The sequence below is a fragment of the Homo sapiens genome, chromosome 3 (assembly GCF_000001405.40).
Source record: "Homo sapiens chromosome 3, GRCh38.p14 Primary Assembly".
Lineage (NCBI taxonomy): Eukaryota > Metazoa > Chordata > Mammalia > Primates > Hominidae > Homo > Homo sapiens.
In genome coordinates this window covers 31,702,352-31,722,919 of record NC_000003.12, presented here as the reverse complement: position 1 = coordinate 31,722,919, position 20,568 = coordinate 31,702,352, and the positions used below count along the sequence as shown (strand labels likewise).

Sequence of the window (20,568 nt, the reverse complement as noted above, 5' to 3'; positions counted from 1 at the left end):
TTAAAAAAAATATAAGAAATGTATATAACTTTGTTAATAGTTATTTAAAAATTAATATTGTAAGAGTATCAAATCTTTATTTACAGCAAATGTATTTAGCCCACATTATGAGTTTAATATTGTAGGTTACCCTGGAAACCCCCAGGAATGACGGTTATTTTTTGATAAATGTGTTTCAGATTCCAAATATCTTCTTTTTCCTAGCTTATGTACTAAAATGCAGAGCCAGCTTGTAATTCTGACTTTAAATATATATATATAATGTAATTCAAGGAGAAAACTACTCCTTTGAAGGATGTGAACTTTTCTTATAGTAGATTGATGCTAATTCCATGTATTGAATTGAGAAAAGAAATGGAAGCAAGAGGGACTTACACTTATGTTTACCTGGCTTTTAAAAACCCCATTATGATGAATTTTTAGTGCTAAAACCTTTATTTAGAATGTAATATTATACAGAAATTCCCATAATGGGAAAATCCTTGCCCATTTTAGGTATTGATGTGCTAGATCAGTGGTTCTCAAGCAGATGACTCTTGTGCCCTGCAGACATGAGGGGCAGGTGCTCCTGATGGTCACTGACTAGGGCTTATGAGAAGCCTTTATAAACTTCAGTCTCCACCTCACAAAAGCCAGGTTTTTGTTTATATCATCTGAGAATACAGGTTCCTTGACGGAGCAATCAATTGGTTGGACATAAGGTACAAAATCATAATGAAAACAAGAGATTCTGTTTTTGATAATTTGGCTGTTAAGATGAGTTAAAAAAAATTTCTAAGTCTCAAGGGTATTTTGAGGGGGTGGCAGTTAAATTGTTGCGTTTCTAGGTTGGTGAGAATGAGGTGAATAAGCTTTTTTCTCCTCAGCATTTGGGTCTCTTTAAGCTGTTTCATGATATGGGGGATGGGGATTAACATGATGTCTCTCTGGAGCCCCAGCTGTGGAGTCTGACAAAGCACTTTGAACCCAAACTCTTTCAATGATTGCATGTAAGAATGTAAACATGTGAATCATTAATGGTTGTATAATGGTATGTCCTGATGAAAATGTTATAAACATTATGTGAGATCATATATCGCTAATGTCCAGCTCAATGCCTGGCACTCAATAGTAAGTCCTTATTAAAATTGTTCTTTGGCCGACCTAGCTTATCTTTATTTGTAGATATGAAGTATGTTGGGAAACACTTAAGAACGTGTGTTGTCATGCTATTCTAGGCTAAGTAAGATTCATTTCTCTTTTGTCTTCCAAAGGAGTAGTCTGGGTATAAATAATGACATCTGCCATTTATATAATGGAGCATGGTTTACAAAGGACCTCCACTAATAACTTATTCAAATATGGCTTCTCCACATAGAGCTAATTTAATAATTATCAGGGTAGCTCTGTTGCTGGTGTCTTGCCTGGGTTTTCTCTGAGGAAGTCCTGAAATCACCTGGTGCGGCCCCAGGTCAGTGAGCATCCACAGGTGGGAAGCCCAGGTAGCTGATTTGCACAGCACATCCCAGGTTTGTGCATCAGAGGAAGTCTGTGTATACAGAAATAAAGGAAATATAAGTAGGTCGCATTAGCTTCCTATTGCTGCTGTAACAAATTACCACAAATGTATTCTCTTGCAGTTCTGTTGGTTAGAAGTCTGACACAGGTCTCAGTGGGCTAAACTTAAAGTGTTAGCAGGGCTGTGTTGCTTTCTGAACGCTCTAGGGTAGAATCTGTTTCCTTGGCTTTCCCAGCTTCTAGAGGCTGCCTGCATTCCTTGGCTTGGGCCCATTGCTCCATCTTCAGAGCCAACAGCATTGACCCTGCTTCCGTAGTCCCATCTCCCTCTGACTTCCCTCTTCTGCTTCCCTCTTCCACTCTTAAGGGCCCTTGTGATTACACAGAGCTTACCCAGATAATCTAGGAAAATCTCCCTGTTTTAAGATCAGCTGATTAGCAAACTCAATTCCATTTGCAACCTTAATTTCCCTATTGCCATGTAACCTAACATATCAGGACTTGGACATCTTTGGGCCTTTTTTTTTTTTTTTTTTTTTTTGAGACAGAGTCTCGCTCTGTTGCCCAGGCTGGAGTGCAGTAGCGTGATCTTGGCTCCAGGTTCAAGTGATTATCATGCCTCAGCCTCCCCAATAGCTAGGATTACAGGCACCCACCACCACGCCCGGCTAATTTTTTGTACTTTGAGTAGAGATGGGGTGTTGCCATGTTGCCCAGGCTGGTCTCGAACTCCTGAGCTCAGACAGTCCTCCCACCTTGGCCTCCCAAAGTGCTAAGATTACAGGCATGAGCCACCACGCCTGGCCGTCTCTGGGCCATTTTCCCACCTACAGCAGCAGGGGAGTTGGCTGGCATTCACAGAATACATTACATAGAGCATGGAGATAAAACTAGGCTCAACCTCTGGCTGGTGGAAATTAAGCAAGTTGTTCTATTGCTCCTGTTGAGGAAAGCAGTCAGCTCAGCTGGACTCATTATTGGAAAAGAAATGCCTGGCTTTGCTTTTTATACACAGTGAAGCCTTTTCAAACTTGCTTTTCCCAGGCTGCCCCTGCCATTGCCCCTCCCTTCCTCCCTGTATCTCCCAAGAGCCTCAGAATTAAGCCGGACATGAAACTATGATGTCTCATTTTTTACAGTTTCTACAGTTCGTGCTTTGGCAGTAGTAGGAGGAGGGTTTTTAAAATTATTGTAAAACAGCATAATTATTGCATTAAAAAATACAGTAGAAACCTGTAGAAAGTCAGAAGTAAAAACCCTGTATTTCCTTTTGATGCCACCTCCTTAGAAGGAGCTACTGTGTGTCTTTTATGGGAAATTTGTTTTTACAGCAAACATATACATATAATATATAAAATATATATAATATATATATATGTTCTTTAACTTTTTTTATACCAGTGGAATCACAGTATGAGTAATGTTCTATGGCTTTTCAATTGTCAATTAGACAATATATCTTAGGTATCTTCCCTTGTCAGTACGTAGAGATTGTTTGCATTCTTTTGAACAGCTACAAAGCCATTCCAGTCTATGAATATATCATAATTTATGGAGTTATGTATTATATTTTATTTAACAAGGAATTTATTTAACTGGACCCTAGGAGTGGCATTTAGGTTGTCCAGTTTTTCATTATTATAAATTGTCCTCTACATATATTATGTACACTTACAGAAATATATCTTATATAGGGAAACTTTCCGGCAGTGGAATTTAAGGGAAATTCAGTTAACAAATGTGGGAATTTAAATTTTGATAAGTATTACTACATTGCCCTCCAAGATTAAGCCAAATGTATACTTTCTCAGCATTGTGTGAGGGTTGCTATTATCCTGTCTGTCACCATTAAGAAATGAATGTCAAGCTCTTATTTTATTTCCACTTTATTTTTAAGATTAATGGTATCTTGTTTTTAATTTCCTTTTTTATAATTATGTATGAAGTTAAGCATATTTTCACATATTTATTAGCCGTTTGTATTTCTTTTGTCTTTAACATCTTGTTCATAGTCTTTGCATATTTTTCAATTGGGTTACTGGACTTCCTAATTAATGTTTTCTAAGAATTCTTTTAATATACAAAGCCAGTGAATTTTTAATAATGTGGAGTAAGTATTTTTCCACCTTTTGGGTGCATTTTTTGAGGTAAGAAGCAGTAACAACAAACATGATTACGTCCCCACTGTAAAATTTTTTCTCATGAAGATCCCTTAGCTTGAATCGTTTTGAGAGTCAGATTCCCCTTACATCCTTTTATAATTTAGCATTAGTTTAAAATTCAGCTCCCGGATTTTATGTGTTGCTGTCCAGGAACACCCACTGGAATGAGCCAGCAGGTGATTCTACATGTGGGCTGTTTTGTAGGGATGAACAGCAGCTATGGGAATGTACACTAACTGATATATACATTTATCCTTCCTGGAAACATCATCTAGCAAGACTCTAGCAGTCCTCTTATTAAGAGAAATGCACCATGTGAAGAGGTAGTTTTCCTACCCTCACTTTCTTGCTGGTCTTGCTCCTTGCTTGAAAACAGATGTGAAAATATGTAGAGATGCATTCCATGGAGGTTCTGATTTGGACCTTCCGTCCCCATCCCGGGTCTGATGTTACTGGTTTTTAATGCAGTTTTATGCAGGATACTTGTCAAGTTGAAAAAAACAATTCGTTTGTTCCTTGAAAATGAAACACTTAATGACAGAAAAGTTTTTAAAAGAAATTCAAAGACATTGGATTAAGTGTAGCATGATAAAATATTCAGTTAAATATCAATTTCCAATAAAGTGTTACATACTCTCAGTTGTTCTGAAACTTTTGAAACTCATATGAAGGATGCGTTTCATGATCCTGTTTTATGAAAACGGGATGAAGATGTGTTCAGGAGTAGAGAATTCTGTCAAAATCTCTAAATTGACAAATTCTCTAAAGTGACAGAAAACCTAGCTTGGAAAGTCATCATGGTGTTATTTTATGCTACAGAAATGGAAATTCTGGGGCTGGGCATGGTGACTCATGCCTGTAATCCCAGCACTTTGGGAGGCTGAGGAAGACAGATCACGAGGTCAGGAGAGCGAGACCATCCTGGCTAACACAGTGAAACCCTGTCTCTACTAAAAATACAAAAAATTAGCTGGGTGTGGTGCCACGTACCTGTAGTCCCAGCTACTTGAGAGGCTGAGGCAGGAGAATCGCTTGAACCTGGGAGGCAGAGGTTGCAGTGAGCCGAGATCGCGCCACTGCACTCCAGCCTGGACAGCAGAGTGAGACTTTGTCTCAAAAGAAAAAAAAAAAAGAAGAAGAAGAAATGGAAATTCTGTGCAACAGAGTGATACAAACAAAAACTAGAATATTTAGTATTGAAAGGATTGTAGGTCCTACCTGAGCACAGTTGTATCTTAAAATTCACCTTCTTTTTGTGCTTAATATAAGAATCCCACCGTTCTGATTATTAACAGTGCTACTACATACCGTTTGCATTACCCCAGGATGATTACAGCTGTCTCACAAATTTCCCCTGGAAGTTTTCACTGAATGAAGCATTTGAGAGCAGGACAAAGCAGAGCATGATAATGTGACAGTTTTTAAAGCAGAGGACATAGTGAGCCTCATTTGGGGTTTATGGCAGCGGAATAATGTGAAAAAAATATGAATTGCTGCAATTACCCTCTTACATCCTGAGTATCATTTCACATTTGAGTAAAAGTACAGGGAAACCTTCTTTTAATATCCTGTGTCACTGTGGCTAGAAAAATGGACACACATAATGCAAATTAAAGAGAATAGAAAATGCCTGCTGTTTGGACCAAAAGGTATTGAGTGGGATTTAGAGATTGCAGCTTTATAATGGGGCATTATTGGTGCCTCCTCATTGTGGAATTAAGGGCTGTGGTAGTTTCGCTCTTGGTTTATTTCTTTTTTTTCTACAAAATGCTAGAGCCTGTTTTCTGCCAGATGCTTTCTTCTTGGTTTGTTAATATTTACAGAAATCAGGACGGAATAGGCGTATACCAGAGTTGTCTTTAAGAAAAATAAAAAGAATAAGACCTGAGCTTTGGGTTGTTTCTGATATTCCTAGCTCTTGATCTGCTTGTGGTACCAAATCACTGGTTTGAGAGTCAGAAGATAATGATCCAGAAACTACCTCTTGAAGCAAAATGGGGTGGACTTGCTTGATTTTATCCCTTAAAGACTGGGCTGCTACCCTGTATGTATTGACATGTGCCTGGCACATGGAAAGTCCTCAATAAATGTACCTTCTGCGTGGCCTGGAGAGAACATTATAACATTATCTGCCGAAGAGTTCTTAATGCATTTTGCTTTTTCCATTATTCATGATGCAGTCCCTTTTGGCCTGCAAAGAACAGTAAATGCCTCTTGCTTCTAATGACTTGTAAATCAAAACCGTTCTGTGGTTTGTGATGCTCCTGATTATTTCCTTTGTGTTATCGTACGCTTCAGAAATTTCCATTGGAGAGTGTTATTTGGGAATTTCTGGGTGAGAAGCATAAATGATTAAAGTGGACACATAAAATTCAAAGTTGGAGTTGAATGACTGCCTGGTGTGGCCACTGATGAAAATATAATCACCCTTATCCAATCAAAGGTGATAGCTTTCTGAATCTGTTTTGGGGTCATCAAATGAAATTTCTGGAACCTTGTCTAATGTTGAAGAATATAATTTTCTTCAACTTGTGCCTACACAAGTTTATGAGAAAAGTTGTCCATATGTCTGTGTTTGGATCCCCCTAGCATCTAGGCCAGAGCCGTCTCCTCACTGGCCGCCTAGGATTGGGTTTGGAGAATCTGAGGGGCTGGTAGCACACCACCTGTGCTGCTCCTCCCTGGGAGCCAGGCCCCTATCACACCTGCTACTTTTCTCTGCTGTTCCTCATAGCCCCCATGGCCGGGGATCATTAGAGCAGACCTTCTCAAATGTTAGAGTGCGCCCAAATCTCCTGGAGGGCCTCGGGGAGCAGGGAGGAGGAGCAAGGGAGTTGCTGTTCAGTGGGTATAGAGTTTGCTATACAGGATGAAAAAGTCCTAGAGATCTGTTGTACAATAATGTCATTATAGTTAATACTCCTGAACCATACACTTAAACAAAAAGTATGAAGTTGGATATAAAGTGATACATTTGTCAAAATTCATGGAACTGTACAATAAGATTTGTATATTGTACCAAGTATAAGTTATAACTATATTTCAATTAAAAGGATAAACAAACCCCAAACCAAACAAATACTGGTCTCTGCCCTGCCCCCAGAGTTTCTGTGTCTGTAGGTCTGGAGGGGGGCCCTAGACTTGTATTTCTATTCAGTTCACAGTGATTCTGCTGCTGCAGGTCCAGGGACCACAGTAGACCTAATTTAGAGCCTTTCCCGCTGCCACTCTGCATTCCCACAGTGCTTTACATGTTTTCTGCTGTCCCTGCCGTAGAGTTCAGGCCCGTAACTGCATAATTTGTGGGAAAAGCAAGGCAGTCTAGCAATTAGTGGCATCAAGTGTACAGTTCCGAAAGAATCACTGATGTGGTACCGTCGACTTTAGTCTCGTGTCTCTTTTTGAATAAGGCCATTTACCATCCGCAGATGAGAAGAAATCCATCACCCAGCACAAAGCATAAGTCAATAATGATTTCAACTGTGGATATAGAAAGCCAGACTTCTAGTCTCGGCATGGACCAGTGCTTATGACAGAAGCAAATCATCGGTAGTAGAATTCCTTTAAGTTTTTAGGCACAGAATCATTTTATTACTATTGGCCACCCCAACTACATTATTCCTTCATCAGTTTGTTTTTGAAATGGAGGTGTTTGTAAAATTGTTCTGTGGTGTTTCATCAGGAATTTTAGATTTTCAAAATAATCTCTTCCCACTGAACTTTCTATTACCAAGAAATTAAGGAAAGATAGACATGGCAGTAACGTTCGAGTGATCCCAGTAAAACTTACACATAGGATTTAGAGGAGGGAGGGATTGCTCCTGCCCAGATTGTTAGAGCCAGCATCATGGTGCCAATGCTGTTCTTACAGGTAGATAACAATTGGTGGAAGGAGTAGAAATTGATTGGGAGGCCATCAAAAGTTAGAGCACCACTCTCCAATCAAACTTGCTGCAATGATGAAAGTATTTTCTTTCTATGCTGTCCAATATGGTAGCCACTAGTCTGAATGTGGCTAGTGCCATCAAGGAACAGAATTTTAAATTGTGTTTAATTTTAATTATTTTAAATAGCTAAATGTGACTAACAGCTTCTGGATTAGATAGCACAAGTCTAGAGAGTAGGGTGAGAAGTGAGTATACTGTCCTCAGACTAGGCTAGAGGAAGTTTAGGAGGGGAGGGGAAGTATGGGTCAGATTGAGGAAAACCGAAGTACTGACTGAGTAGACATTTTCCTCTGGGCAGTGGGAAGCAACTGAAGACTTTTTTTTTTTTTTTTTTTTTTTGACACAGCCCTCAGGAGATCCTGAGAATATGTGCTTGATTGAAGACTTTTGAACAGAGCAGTGGGTGTCTGGGGAAGAACACTCTGGTGGTGTGGTACAAGACAGTGTTAAGAGGAGGCGTCTGGAGCAGAAGGATGAGCTGGGAGGCTGGCAGGGCCCTACATTTATGTGGTCAAAACCTAGGGTGTGGTAGCAGCAAAGATGAGGAAAGGAAGGGATGGTGGGCCAGGTGGCTCTCTAGATGGGAGGTGTCCGGGAACTTGCAGGTCTCAAGCCTGGGTGACTAGGAGGATGGTGCGCAAAACAGGAAAGGCAGGACGCGGCTGCTGGGTTCCTTTCTCGAGTGCACGCAGGGCTGAAAGGAGGGGAGCTGAGATGAGAACGGCCCTTTTCCCCACTGAATGCTGCCTGCCCATGTGTGTCGTCTTAGCTGTTTTCTATTTGCCCATCGTGTTTAGTAGAATAATTGAATCTGCAGACAGTTTTGACTAGTCCATTTTGCCTCTCACTCCACCCCGCTGCCTCTCGTGCTTTCTCTCTCTCTTCCTTACCTGCCTGCTGCCAGCTCCTTGCCTCCCCTCTGATTACTGCGCCCCCGCAATAACTCACTGTTTGATCTTCCACATACGGGAACTCGAAACCCAGCTACTGTCTGCCCAGCAAGGCTGCAGTGTCCAGGGTGACCCAGGCCATGTCCTGCACTGATTGTAATCCTCCTCTGCGCCTAACACAGAGCCTTACGTGTATACCGAGTAGAGGAGAAGGAAGGATGTCAAACATGTCACTACCACCCCCCAGTGCATGTTGGTCTCCCTCACGCTGGACTGTGGCAGGAGTCTTCCAAAACTGCTCTCAGTGCCCCATCCCCTCTGTGTGCAATCATATCGTTGCTTACTTAACCAACCATTCATCTCCTAGGGCCTGAGTTCTGTTACCCAGCCTCCTCAGAATCTTCAGCAGTTCCTCATTTCCATAGGGGAAAGCCAGCTGTTTATTTCCTTTACTTATGCAACGAATAAGTCAGTGTCAGATAGTATTTTTGTTGATAAAGCCACAGCGGCGAGCAAAACATTTTGGTCCTGCTTCCTGTGAGCTGACTTTCTGCAAGGGAGAGAGATGATAAATGCACATATAATATAGTTGAGAGTGATCAGTGCTGCAAGGAAAAGCAGAGCTGAGGAAGGAGCAAATGGTGGAGAGGGAGGAGAGGGAGTGGTGCTGGCCTAGACGGTCAAAGGTTGCTGTGGTAAGGGGACACTGGAGTTAAGATCTGAGTGAGGCTGGGTGCGGTGGCTCATGCCTGTAATCCCAGCACTTTGGGAGGATGAGGTGGGCGGATCACTTGAGGTCAGGAGTTCAAGACCAGCTCGGGCAACATGGCTAATCCCCATCTCTACTAAAAGTACAAAAATTAGCCTGGCATGGTGGTATGCACCTGTAATTCCAGCTACTTGGGAGGCTGAGGCAGGAGAATTGCTTAAGCCCGGGAGGGGAAGGTTGCAGTGAGCCAAGATCACACCGCTGCACTCCAGCCTGGGCAACAGAGTGAGACTCTGTCACAAAATAAAATATAAATAAATAAAATAAAATTAAAAAAAGATCTGAGTGAAGTGAGGGGGATATGGATGAAGAAGACCTATAAGAGCAGGTGCAAAGGCCCTGAGGTAAGCCTGTCCTTTGCGTGTTCCAAGAACAGAAGGTGGCTGGGAGGGGTGAGCAGAATGAACAAGGAGGGGAGCGTGATCAAGAGAAGAGTAGAGAAGTCGTGGGGGCAACATCGTGTAGGGCCTCACGGGCCACAGTCAGGACTTTGACATTTAGTCTGAGTCAAGAGGAGAGGGCTTTCAGCTTAGGAGTTATGTGATGAACTTTATGATTTAAGATGCCTTCTAGCTACTGTGAGGAGACTGACTGGGAAGCTGTTGCAGTAATTAGGAGAGAGAGGTGACGGTGGCTTTGCCAGAGTGGCTGAGGTTGTGAGAAACCATGAGATTCTAGATATAATTTGCAGAAGTTGCTGATGGATGTGATGTGGAACAGTGCGTAAGCAAGAAATTAAAGTCAAGGATGGTGCCAAGGCTTTTGGCCAAGTGATTAGAAAAACAAAGCTGTTATTTACTGAGATGAGGAGGATCATATTTTGGAGGTATGAATTGAAAGGTCTGTTTTAGACACAGTAAGTCTGAGATGGCCATTAGGTGATGTGTTTTCACTGCTGTAACAAATGATCATCGACTTATTGATTTAAAACAATGCTAATTTATCATCTCGTAGTTCTGCATAAGAAGTCAGACACAGGTTTCAGTGGGCTGAAATCAAGGTGTTGGCAGGGCTGCATTGCTTTCTGGAGGCCCTAGGAAAGAATTTGTTTCCTTGGCTTTTCCAGTTTCTAGAGGCTGCCCACATTCCTTGGCTTGCAGCCCCTTCCTCCATCTTCAGAGCCAGGAACGTTGCATCTATATTCCTCTTCCTGTCCACAGCGTGGAAAGATTCTCTAACTTTAGCGATTCATGTTTTTACATCAAGGCCACCTCAGCAATCCAGGTTAATCTCCTCATCTCAAGGTCCTTAACGTAATCACATGTGTAAAGCCCCCTTGTCACTTAAAGTGCCGTATACACAGGTTCCGGGAATTAGGATGTGGGCAGCTCAGGGGTCTGCTATCCTGCCCACCTCGGATAGCTAAGGGGGAGATGTTGAATAGGCCACTGGGTGCACAAAGCTAGAGTTCAGGGGAGAAGGCTGAACTTGAGATACACACTTAGGAAACATACATTTAGAAATTATTGAAAGCTGTTGGACCAGATGGGCTCTCCAAGGGAATGAGTCCTATTATAAGGCCAAAACCATGTGCTTGGCCTCAGCTGTACTTCCCTGCAGTAAGGTTCTCTTCATCCCTGGCTGGCATCATTTCTTCTGTTGGACTGTCCCCTCCTTCTCTTGGCTACTTTAAGTGCTCCTCTTTGGTGACACCCAGCCCAGAGTCTGCCTTCTCTGTGTGAGCCCCTCTGATCACCCTGGGCACGCCCTTCCTCCTGGCCTTTGCTATTTGATTTTGCATCATATATCCTTTCATTTATTTTTCTATTTTTGATGACAACATTATTGAGATATAATAGGCATGCCATACAATTTATCCATTTAAATTGTACCAACCATTTGGTGGATTTTAGTATATTTACAGGTGTATGTCACTGTCACCACAGTCAATTTTAGAACATTTTCATCACCTCAAAAACAAGCCCTGGACCCTTTAGCTGTCACCCCCATTCCACCCATCCTCGCAGCCTCTGGCAACCACTAATCTTTGTTGCCTGTCTTGGATGTCTCATAGAAGTGGAATCACAACACCTGGCCTTCTGTGACTGGCTGTCCTGTTAAATCTAGATTTTGTCCTTGCACACTCAAGTTTCCCATGCTTTCTTTTTGGTTTTATAAATTCATTCCTTTTAAGAACTTACTGTACATCTGTTATAAACCACCCTTTGTGTTGGAATTCTAGAAATGAAACCCTCAGTTAGCTAGGATTCCTCCATGAAAGAATTCCGATTAAGGTAAGCTGACAACCACATGGCCACTGCGTTCCCCTCCTGAGCCACTGGCTGATATTACTAATTGATCACAGCATTCTTTCTCCCCAGATTTGTATATGGCCTCTACGTCCACCTCCACCCATGGCCCTGAGTAGCCAGCCCCAAATAATCAATTTTCCTTTGCCAAAAGAGGGCTGACATTTCTGGTCCAGTTGGAAAGTAGGTGTGCACTTGCATAAATCCACTTTGCTAAGTGCCAGAATGGGCATGTCTGAAGCACCTAGGGACTCCTTGCTAGAATGGAGGCTCCACCTCTGTGAAACATGGTTGAACTAAGTCTCAAATCATGAGTTGAAACTTACAGTCTGAAACTTACTAGTCTCCAGGGGTAGGAGAAAGAAAGATCCATGTACTCCTTCTCAACCAGAACACCAGCCTGTTGAATGCTGAGACCATATCTTAAGCAAATTTCTATCTTCAGTATCTAATGTGGTGCTTTGTTACCTGTGGGCATTGGAGGTGGCTGAGGTGATTAACCCTTTCAGGCCTGGTGTCTGCTTACCATTAAACCTACCCTTATGCCTTTATGTCTAAACCCATTGCATTCCCTCTTATCAGAGCTCCAGGAAGGCTAGAATGGGGTCTTGAAGGAGTTTCTTCCCTACCTTTCCTAGGTCTGGAGAACTCAAGTAGCTGTGGATGGCAGGTTTGGATGGCAGGTGTGGATGGCTGCTGCTCCTGTCACCTCCAAACCACAGCTGGTCCTCTGGGGCTGGTTGCTGGGATACTATCTCTGATTCACTGCACTTGCTGCTTTGTGTTTGTCTTGCTTAGTTCACACATTTGCATGTGACCTTGATTGAGACATATTTGAAAGTTCTCTGAATCCTTTCCTAGTGTAGCTCCAGACCAGGGAAGTGATGCTTACCTCGTGGACAGGGCCCTGCAGCCCCAAAGCCCTCAGTGGGGAAGGCCTAGGAGAGGAGCTTGGGTGGTGTCAATCAGCTTTGAGAGGGAAGCTGTGGGGGGAGAAGGGGAGCAGCACAAGTAGGAAGATGCAGGAGTGTTAGCAGCAACCTCAAGTCAACATACCACTGTGTGCCCAGTACGAACGTCACAGGCCTCGTCAGAGCATGGCTGTTTACCAAGCACTTCTTGTGTGCCAGCCACTGTGTTCAGTGCTTTACACGCTTTGCCTTGTTGAGACCTAGAGCAGGCCTCTCAGATATGAGAGGTGGTACCATCTCCATTTTAGAGACAGGAAGGCTGAGCCTTACAGGTGGGGCATAGCGTCTTTAGGATTTATCTCCAGGACTATCTGCAGCCAGATCTCCAAGCTTTCCTTTTGTGCATCTCTGTCTCCTAAAGCTGTGGTGGTCTCTGATTTCATGGCCTCTTCCTTATCCTCACTATGACTTTTATCCCAAATACTCATGAGCTTCCTGTGATCGGTGCTGCCTGAAGACCTTGGCCCCACAATCATAAACAGCTTTGCTTTCAGGGTGTCTTTCAGAGCTCTTGGCTGTGTTATTAATTCAGCGCTGGATTTGGTTTTAAAGTGCTAGTGTCTTGCTCATTGAGATGCTGTAAAGCACCTGACACAGTGCTTGGCACCTAGGAGGCCCTCTCTGTCTTGTTGGGGCCCTGCCCTTTCCCTGCTTTTCCAGGCAGCAGGCTGATGCTAAGCTTGATTTGCAGCCTCTGGGATTCTGCACGCTGGCAGTTGGTATTCATACTGGCACGCTCCAAAAGCTCAGCTGCAAAATTGTTGCCTACCCCTTCATTTGCCGCTGCTTCTTCCCTTTTCTTTTTTGTACTTTCTTTAGGTTTTCCTTGCTATTTCTTGATTTCTTTTTTTCCCTTTCATTTAAAAATAGCAGGACTCTGGTTTCTAATCAGAAATGTAGAAATTAGACAAAGACATGCTGCTATTTCCTGTGAATGCTTCCCTCGAATGTTTTAAAGGAACGCCTGTTGAATCCTCTCAATATAATTGTTCCCAATTATCTTGGCTGATGACAAATGCCCCCACTCTCTCCCCTCCCCAGAAGTGACTTCCTTCTGCCTTCCAGGGTGTGTTTTATTTAAAACTAACCTTTCTGCAGGTCGGCCCCTTTGCTCAGGAAGAGCATCTGTCCTTCCAGTCTATAAGAGCCAAGTGTGGTAAATGTGTGTGTATGTGTGGTTAGAGCCAGCCAGCCAGCTCATCCCCTGGGAGGCGGCAGGAGGATTGTGATGTCAGTGACGACAAACTCAGCATCTCCGAAAGGCAGCTGGGACTAGCTTGCTGTGTGGACATGCGTGTACTTGGACCTGTCAAGGATAAGATCCAGCTTCTCCATCGGGTTCCCCTCACAGTGGCCTCGTTGTTGAATCTACCTCCAAATGGCAAGATAAGGTCCCCTAAATTCGCCGGTGGCCTTTGAGGCACAGTTGGTTGCCTGGCTTTGGAAGTGGCTCCATGTAGAGGATAGTACGTGTGCAGGAGCCTTCAACAGCCGCCCTGCAGCAGGGCCAAGGGGTACCAGCTATACCAGACACCAGCTGAAGGCATGTGTCCACAGCTTCTGTCTTCGGCATGACTTCTGACCAAAGTGGAACATCCACCCTTTCAGCTGAGATACCCTCTACCCAACAAAGATGGCCTACTTTTGGAGAATTAGACACAGCCACCAAAAAGACTCTTCCAGAGGAGAAATCTCACCTGTGCAGTGTGTGGGAAGGACAGTAGGTTCATCAGGATCAACCATTTGGCATTCATATGCCAAAACTTTCTATCTCTGTGTCCTCAGGGGAGATACTTTTTCCAAGCATGTAGTAGTGAATGCCTTGCACTTGGTAGTCATGTGATATGAGTTGCTTATTGGAAATGGGTACAAGAAGGCCAAGTGAAATTTCCTGGATTGCTGGCCGTCTTTATATACCCTGGGCTATGCTGATGTTATTGACATATATACAGAGTCGGACTGGATCTTCAGATGTGGCTATGTCAGTTTTCATGACCTTTGCCTGTTAGATGGGGCTTCTTAAGAAATGTCACTGATTGTGAAGATACACTGTGAGGATTATGTAATGATTGTGATAATTTGGTTAAATATGCTGTACATATTGGAATGAGAAAATGACTAGAGATAAAAGGGACTAAGTCCTTGGTTTTATGGATTCTGTACTGCAAACACTAACACTATTATTGTTAGAACTGAAGGTCGGGTGCAGTGGTTCATGCCTGTGATCCCAGCACTTTGGGAGGCCAAGATGGGAGGATCACTTGAGGGCCAGGAGTTTGAGACCAACTTTGGCAACATAGCAAGACCCTGTCTCTAATTTAATAAAAAATTTAAAAATTTTAACTGAAGACCTGAAAAATGGATTCAGTAATTGGTTGTTGGGCACTTGCTCCTCATAGACACTGAGACCCCTTTGTTTCTCTTCTGTAAAATCACTGTGTTTCTTGATTTATCCCCTTTGTCTTCTACTTGCCTACTCTTCCAATCTCTCCAGTCCCTAGCCTCTATCTATGTCTCAACTCCACACTCTTTATTTTTCTAGAACCTCTCATTTGTTGGGAAACCAGCCTCTGTTGACTCTTTTCCCCTAGAAAACATAAGTACACTTGCCCTGGTGGCCATTAGTGCATGTTATTGCCTGTTCTGTGTAGTTATGGAATTGAGAAATAATTTGTCTATGAGGGGACATCATTCCCTGGTTACTTCTTTGCCATGCTGCTGTGTACCTGACAGTTCTCTTTTCTGAGGATATCTGAGCATGGTGCTTTGGGTCTTCTCACCTACTGCCTGCATTTCTGTGACCCTCAGACTACCCATTTTTTTTGACATGGCTAGATTTCCCCAAAAAGATCATATCTAGATGTGTATGGTCTTGTCACTCAGTGCCAAGGTTTTTTGGTATGGCTCAGTTCACCCCAGTGCCTCCTTGCCAAGTTAACAGTGTGTGGGGAAAGTTGCCAGGCTTTAAAAATGATTGAACTGCAATATGCTTGCTGCTAAAAGAGAATTTGATGTTCATTCTCTAGCTGGCTTTATTGTCTGTCCTTGCCATATAGGTTTTCAGGAAAGTTGCAGGTCACTTGAGTTCAGTGGGTGCTGTTTTTCTGTTGAGATATTGTCTGTTTATTGGATACTTATTTACTTGGGCATAAGATGGCTTTAGGAGGTCGTCTTAATCCGTGCTAGAGTAGACCCTCTTGCCCCTGCATGTCTGTGATTCCTGGTTTGGCACAGAAAAGCTCCCTGTCCAAAGGCAAAATGCATCTTTAATGGTTAGGTAATGGAACCACGCAGGCTTCTGCCATGATATCTCAAATCTAACCAGTGAGGATTCAGTCCTCTGAATTAAGATATTAGGTTATAAGGCCATGTACAAATAAAGGAGATGTTAGTAGATCAAACTGCTTGTGTTGACCCCAGCTACCTGAAGGCCAGGTCTAGGTTAAGAGAGAAGGCAGTTCACTAAAGCAGGAAGGGTGGGGTGGGGTGGGAGTCATCTGTCTGAGGAGGGGAAAGCAGGAGTGAAGTGCCAGGAAAGAGAGTACCTTTGGGGACATGGGTGGAGTGAACGAAGCCTGTGACAGGGAAATGAGTGGACTCTGCAGACAAATGTCTATTTCATGCTTTTTCCTGGGAGGGACACAAACTGTAGTTACATTACATATATGTATTGAATAAAAAGATTGGCATTTCAGTCATGCTTGAAATCTGCATTTGTATTGAAGAATTAAGATATTTGTTTAAGAGATGAAAGCAAAGCTAAATGTTTCTCCCACATTGATGTTCCCATTGAGAAGACTGTTGGACCCACACAAACCTAACACACGTCACAGTTTTGCCTCCTGGCTTTGGCCTCGGTGGCATAGCCCCATATATCTCCTTCTCCTTACTAGATAAGAAGCAGAGGCCCATGGTTAAGGGCAGAGTCACATCTGTAGATGCTGTGACTGTCTTGGATTGGACCATTCCCAGCCCAAGACCCCATCTCTCACATGGTCTCAGCCTTTGGTCCTCAAGAGGCTGGAGGTCAGCGAAGGGGCAGAGACCCTTCTAAGAATCCAAGGGGAGCTATGGACCCCCTCTTCAGAAAAATGCCCAGACTTACAATTTTTGCATAAAATTTCAAGGATGGGGGTGGATATCTTAAGGGCTGTCCATGTGACCCAGGCCAAGAACCCTTGCTCCGGGCACAGGTCACTGTGGGTCACCAGGGAATGTCCCTAAACCCCAGCCTGCCCGTGAAGCTTTTTCCTGCCCATTGATTTTTCGCTTATCGTTCTCCCCATTTGCTAATAGGCACAGTTGCTTGATTTTTGTAGCACCATATGCCCTGAGGTGCTTGTGTGGTAGAAATATTGTCGTAATTTCTGTTTTTATTAAAATCCTCATTTTTCCAAAGCCTGCTTCTCTTTAAAACATATTTTAATTCCATTTTATCTTCAAGTTTGCATACATTTTTGTGGCTGGGCTGGCTCATTTGCAAAAATCTCTGGGGGATGGGGGATCTGAAGATTCTTCTGCTTAAGTCTTATAAATTCTCTCAGCAGTATGAAACCGTTTCTCACATTCATATTTTTCAGAGATGGGGGAACACTGTTCTGCCATTTTTGATGACCTTGAGAGAGTTGTTACTGTTTTATAAGTGAAAATTCGCAGAGATTCAGAGAGGGGAGGCGTGCAGGGGCTCCCAGGAGACAAGTAGGACTTTGTGAGAGAAGGGGAGTGTGGATGTGGATAAGCACGGGGACCTGATTATGGAAAACAGCACTTAGAAAGGATGATAATTATCCATCTCTTTGAATTCCACATCAGAGTAGCGGAATCAACAAACCCTTGACCCTGAAAGGGAAGGAGGTTTTGTGTCTTTAAAACTCCATCAAGACCTGCTTCTTCAAACCCTCCATTCCTTGCAGTGCCTGTCTATGTGGGTGCTTTGTGGTTGCCAGTAGATTGGTATTTACATTGCCATGGACCTCTTTCAGACAGAGTTGACCTGCTGACTACTGCTGCCTTTCCATCTATGTACCCCCAAGTTGGACCGCGATGGGGGTGGGGGGGGGGGTCTTCTCTTTGTGCAGATGGACTGAGCTGCAGTGTGGGTGGATTGAAAGTGTCCTCTAAGATGTTTACTGTCAACATGGTGTATGAAACCAGCTTAACTCTGATATTTACTTGAGGCTGGGTAGGAGAATTGTTTACAAATCACATTGGGAGAGAAAGGGCAAGTTCTCAGAGGCTGTGGGAGAGAAAACAGTCCTAGGTCCTTGTTTAAGGTTAGGGCATGGCTTGCTCAGGATTTGTGCCACCAAGGGGCAGTGTGCCAGGCTCCCATGGCCGTCCTTCTGTGGGCGGGACTTCAGGGCCACCAGTCATCCCGGATGACTCAGCTTCTGGGGCACCTGCACCAGCCTTAATTTCCTCTGCTGGAGCCACTGTCTTTGAGAGGAATTGTCAGACACAGAGGGCATGTGCTGTTGATTTACAGTGGGAAAGGATGGAGGGGTTTGTTTTCACATTTATGTGTGTACTCCGTATCATGCGGCTGGATCTTGTGGAAGACTTTCTGGCTACTAGAAGTCAGGGACAAGCTGGGTCTAATTTTCGAGTAAGGCAGACAGCTGGAGGAGGTGTGGTCCCCGAAGGTCTATAAACACATCACAGTGAGTGTAGCAGTGAGTGGGAAAGATGAGGATTTCCCCTGCAATGGCTTGTGAGCAAATAGGAAATCACAGCTTTAGAAGAATGAATCATTCTTTGCTTCATGAAGCTTATGGCAGCCTCAGTGGAGCAATTGATTTAGTATGCAGTCCATTCTTGGTGAGAACAGCTAATTTCAAGCAGAAAATAATTGCCCGCAAAATGGAGCTACTTCTCCTGTTGAGATGTTTAAGGACTTTGCAGCCCACTCCACCTGTTGGGTACACCATGGTGGTTGGATTTCACTTGGTTTTGATTGTCCTTTTTCTTCCCAAAGCAGAATGCCCAGGCACTACCCTCTCCTCCCCCAGCTGGTGCTGGCATGAGAGGAATTCTGCTAATACAGATTACTGCCCACCGGGTCACTGCAGAGGAAGTTGCAGCTATAGCACCTTTGCCATTGGGAGGGATTTGTGTCTGAGCTCTCTGACTTCCGTAGCGTAGACTGGAAATGGAAGCTCACAGGGAGCTGAGACAGCCACCCACTTTCAAACTGACCTGAAATCCAGAAGAGGCAAAAGGGAGGAGAGCCAGGAGGACAGGCCAGTAGAAGGGAGGCCCTGCTAATCTCAGCATTAGCCATTCAGACTCATGGCAGCGGTGGCCTTGGCACCAGGAGCAGTCACGCAGCAGCACGGGGTGTCATGAGGTGGAGCTGGAGGAGACCCCCAGGGCCACTGGCTGTAAGTGCTGGGCTCCTGTGTGCTTCTACCCCTAACTTCCCAGTGTAGAATCAGGGTAGCTCACAGCTCAGAGACTTCCCTCTCTGGCTCTTCCTCTCAGGGTTAGCATAGGTAAGGATTCCTCAATTATTTCAGCATAATCTAGCAAAGCAACTTGCCAATGACGTCAGATAATACCCATTATGAGGTGGCTAGAGAACTGGGCACATAATAAAAGAAAACTCAGCTTTTGGCTGGGGGAATATCCTGTGGGCTTCACTGAGATCTTCCCAACCATCTCTTTAGAATTGGGGTTATTTAGAGCTGATTGAGAACACCTTAGGAGTATGTCTGTGGAAAACGTCTATTTACGTTGAAGTTTTAAAAATGCCTACCCCAGGAGGGAAGGAACACCGTTATTACCTCTCTTTGGAATGTTGGAAAGGAATGGTCCGTGTGGGTATGTAAGGCCAGACAATTTTAAACACCTTGACCACTAAAATAACCTTTGTATGTTAGAAGTGCCTGTAGATATAAGATGATTCTGTCTAATGAGGTTAGTAAATTGTTCGTTTTTTGCATGGACATTTGGACAAGTCTGTATCCTTTCATGTTTAACATCTTTGAGCTTCTGAATTTCTGTATATTATGTCTGACCTGTTATTGATAATTGGAAAGAAATGTATAATGTTCTGTGCAGAGTGCTTTTGCTTATATGTAAGCAAGCATCATAAGAACATAGGTAAATGTGGAGTGTGGAATGTGGATACTTCTTTCAATAGAATTCTGAGGGCAAGTTAACCTTGTAACCAGAGTCCTTAATACTTGGATACTGGAAAATTTTATGTGCAATAATCCCCTTGCCCAGTTTATTAAGTTGCCTGTTTTCTATGTAATGTGAAAAATTGGAATTGAGTGATTGAATTAATAAACTTGCATCGAGGAAAGCAGGGTATGTTGGCCAGTGTGAATCCCAGTAGTATCATAAAGTTTCAGTTTTGCCTTAAATTTTCATTTGTTGTCTTCCTCCCTAAATTAATGCCAATTCTCAGCATTTTCTTATACCTGCTAGAGTGATCCTAATTGATTTGGGTAGAAATAGTCTTAGAGCACGTTTTTCCATAAATAATTTTAGTCCCTGGATAATCCAACTTTTACTTATAAACAGAAAAATTTATATTAGATATGAAGTGGCCTGGATTGTGCAAGTTAACAGGAGTCTAACTTTGGTAAACTCCTACTTGCTAATAGGCAAAATGAAGGGGGCTCATACCCATATACTATAGTTAGTTTCTTAAAGAACAGGGAGCTGTTTTGTCAGGGGAAGTCCTTACACTCACTAATCAGGGATGACGGGAGAGATGAAAGGGGATATGCAGTGTCCAAGGCACAGGTCCGACCCCCAGGGGACTTGTCTGCCCCGTGGCCAATAGGACTGGGTCACAGAGGAGCTCTGCCCGGGACAGGATTGGGTTTCTTCTGTCATTGCAAAGCATGTGAATTCATACACTTTATTTCTAACTTCTATTGGGCCAGCTGGTGATTTTTATTGATTATTTCATTTTAGCCAAACTCAGGCTCTGAATTGGTTTTGTCTGAAGATGAAAAAAGTGACAATGAAGATAAGGAAGAGACGGAATTGGGCGTCATGGAGGATCAGCGTAGTATAATTCTTCATCTCATTTCACAACTCAAACTTGGAATGGATTTGACCAAGGTAGGTT

At 43.3% G+C, this 20,568-nt stretch overlaps 1 protein-coding gene and 1 long non-coding RNA gene across 18 annotated transcripts in view; one reads left to right on the top strand and one right to left on the bottom strand.

Annotated features, from left to right (window-relative positions):
• The window catches only part of OSBPL10 (oxysterol binding protein like 10), a 416,868-nt gene that overhangs the window by 354,773 nt on the left and 41,527 nt on the right, over positions 1–20,568 (top strand). For 16 of the 17 annotated variants that reach the window (XM_047447390.1, XM_047447386.1, XM_047447391.1 and 13 more), the window contains one exon: positions 20,412–20,561. In XM_047447390.1, coding sequence (XP_047303346.1) covers positions 20,412–20,561 — 150 coding nt within the window. Of the gene's footprint in view, positions 1–13,759; positions 14,206–20,411; positions 20,562–20,568 lie in introns of those variants that run through there. The other variant, XM_005264845.2, reaches the window with a different exon arrangement.
• Positions 1,334–18,707, bottom strand: OSBPL10-AS1 (OSBPL10 antisense RNA 1). Its single transcript, NR_049771.1, has 5 exons — positions 18,681–18,707; positions 11,855–11,982; positions 4,650–4,697; positions 3,996–4,141; positions 1,334–1,528 (listed from the first exon to the last, which is right to left on the bottom strand). It is a non-coding gene; the product is annotated as an OSBPL10 antisense RNA 1 (long non-coding RNA).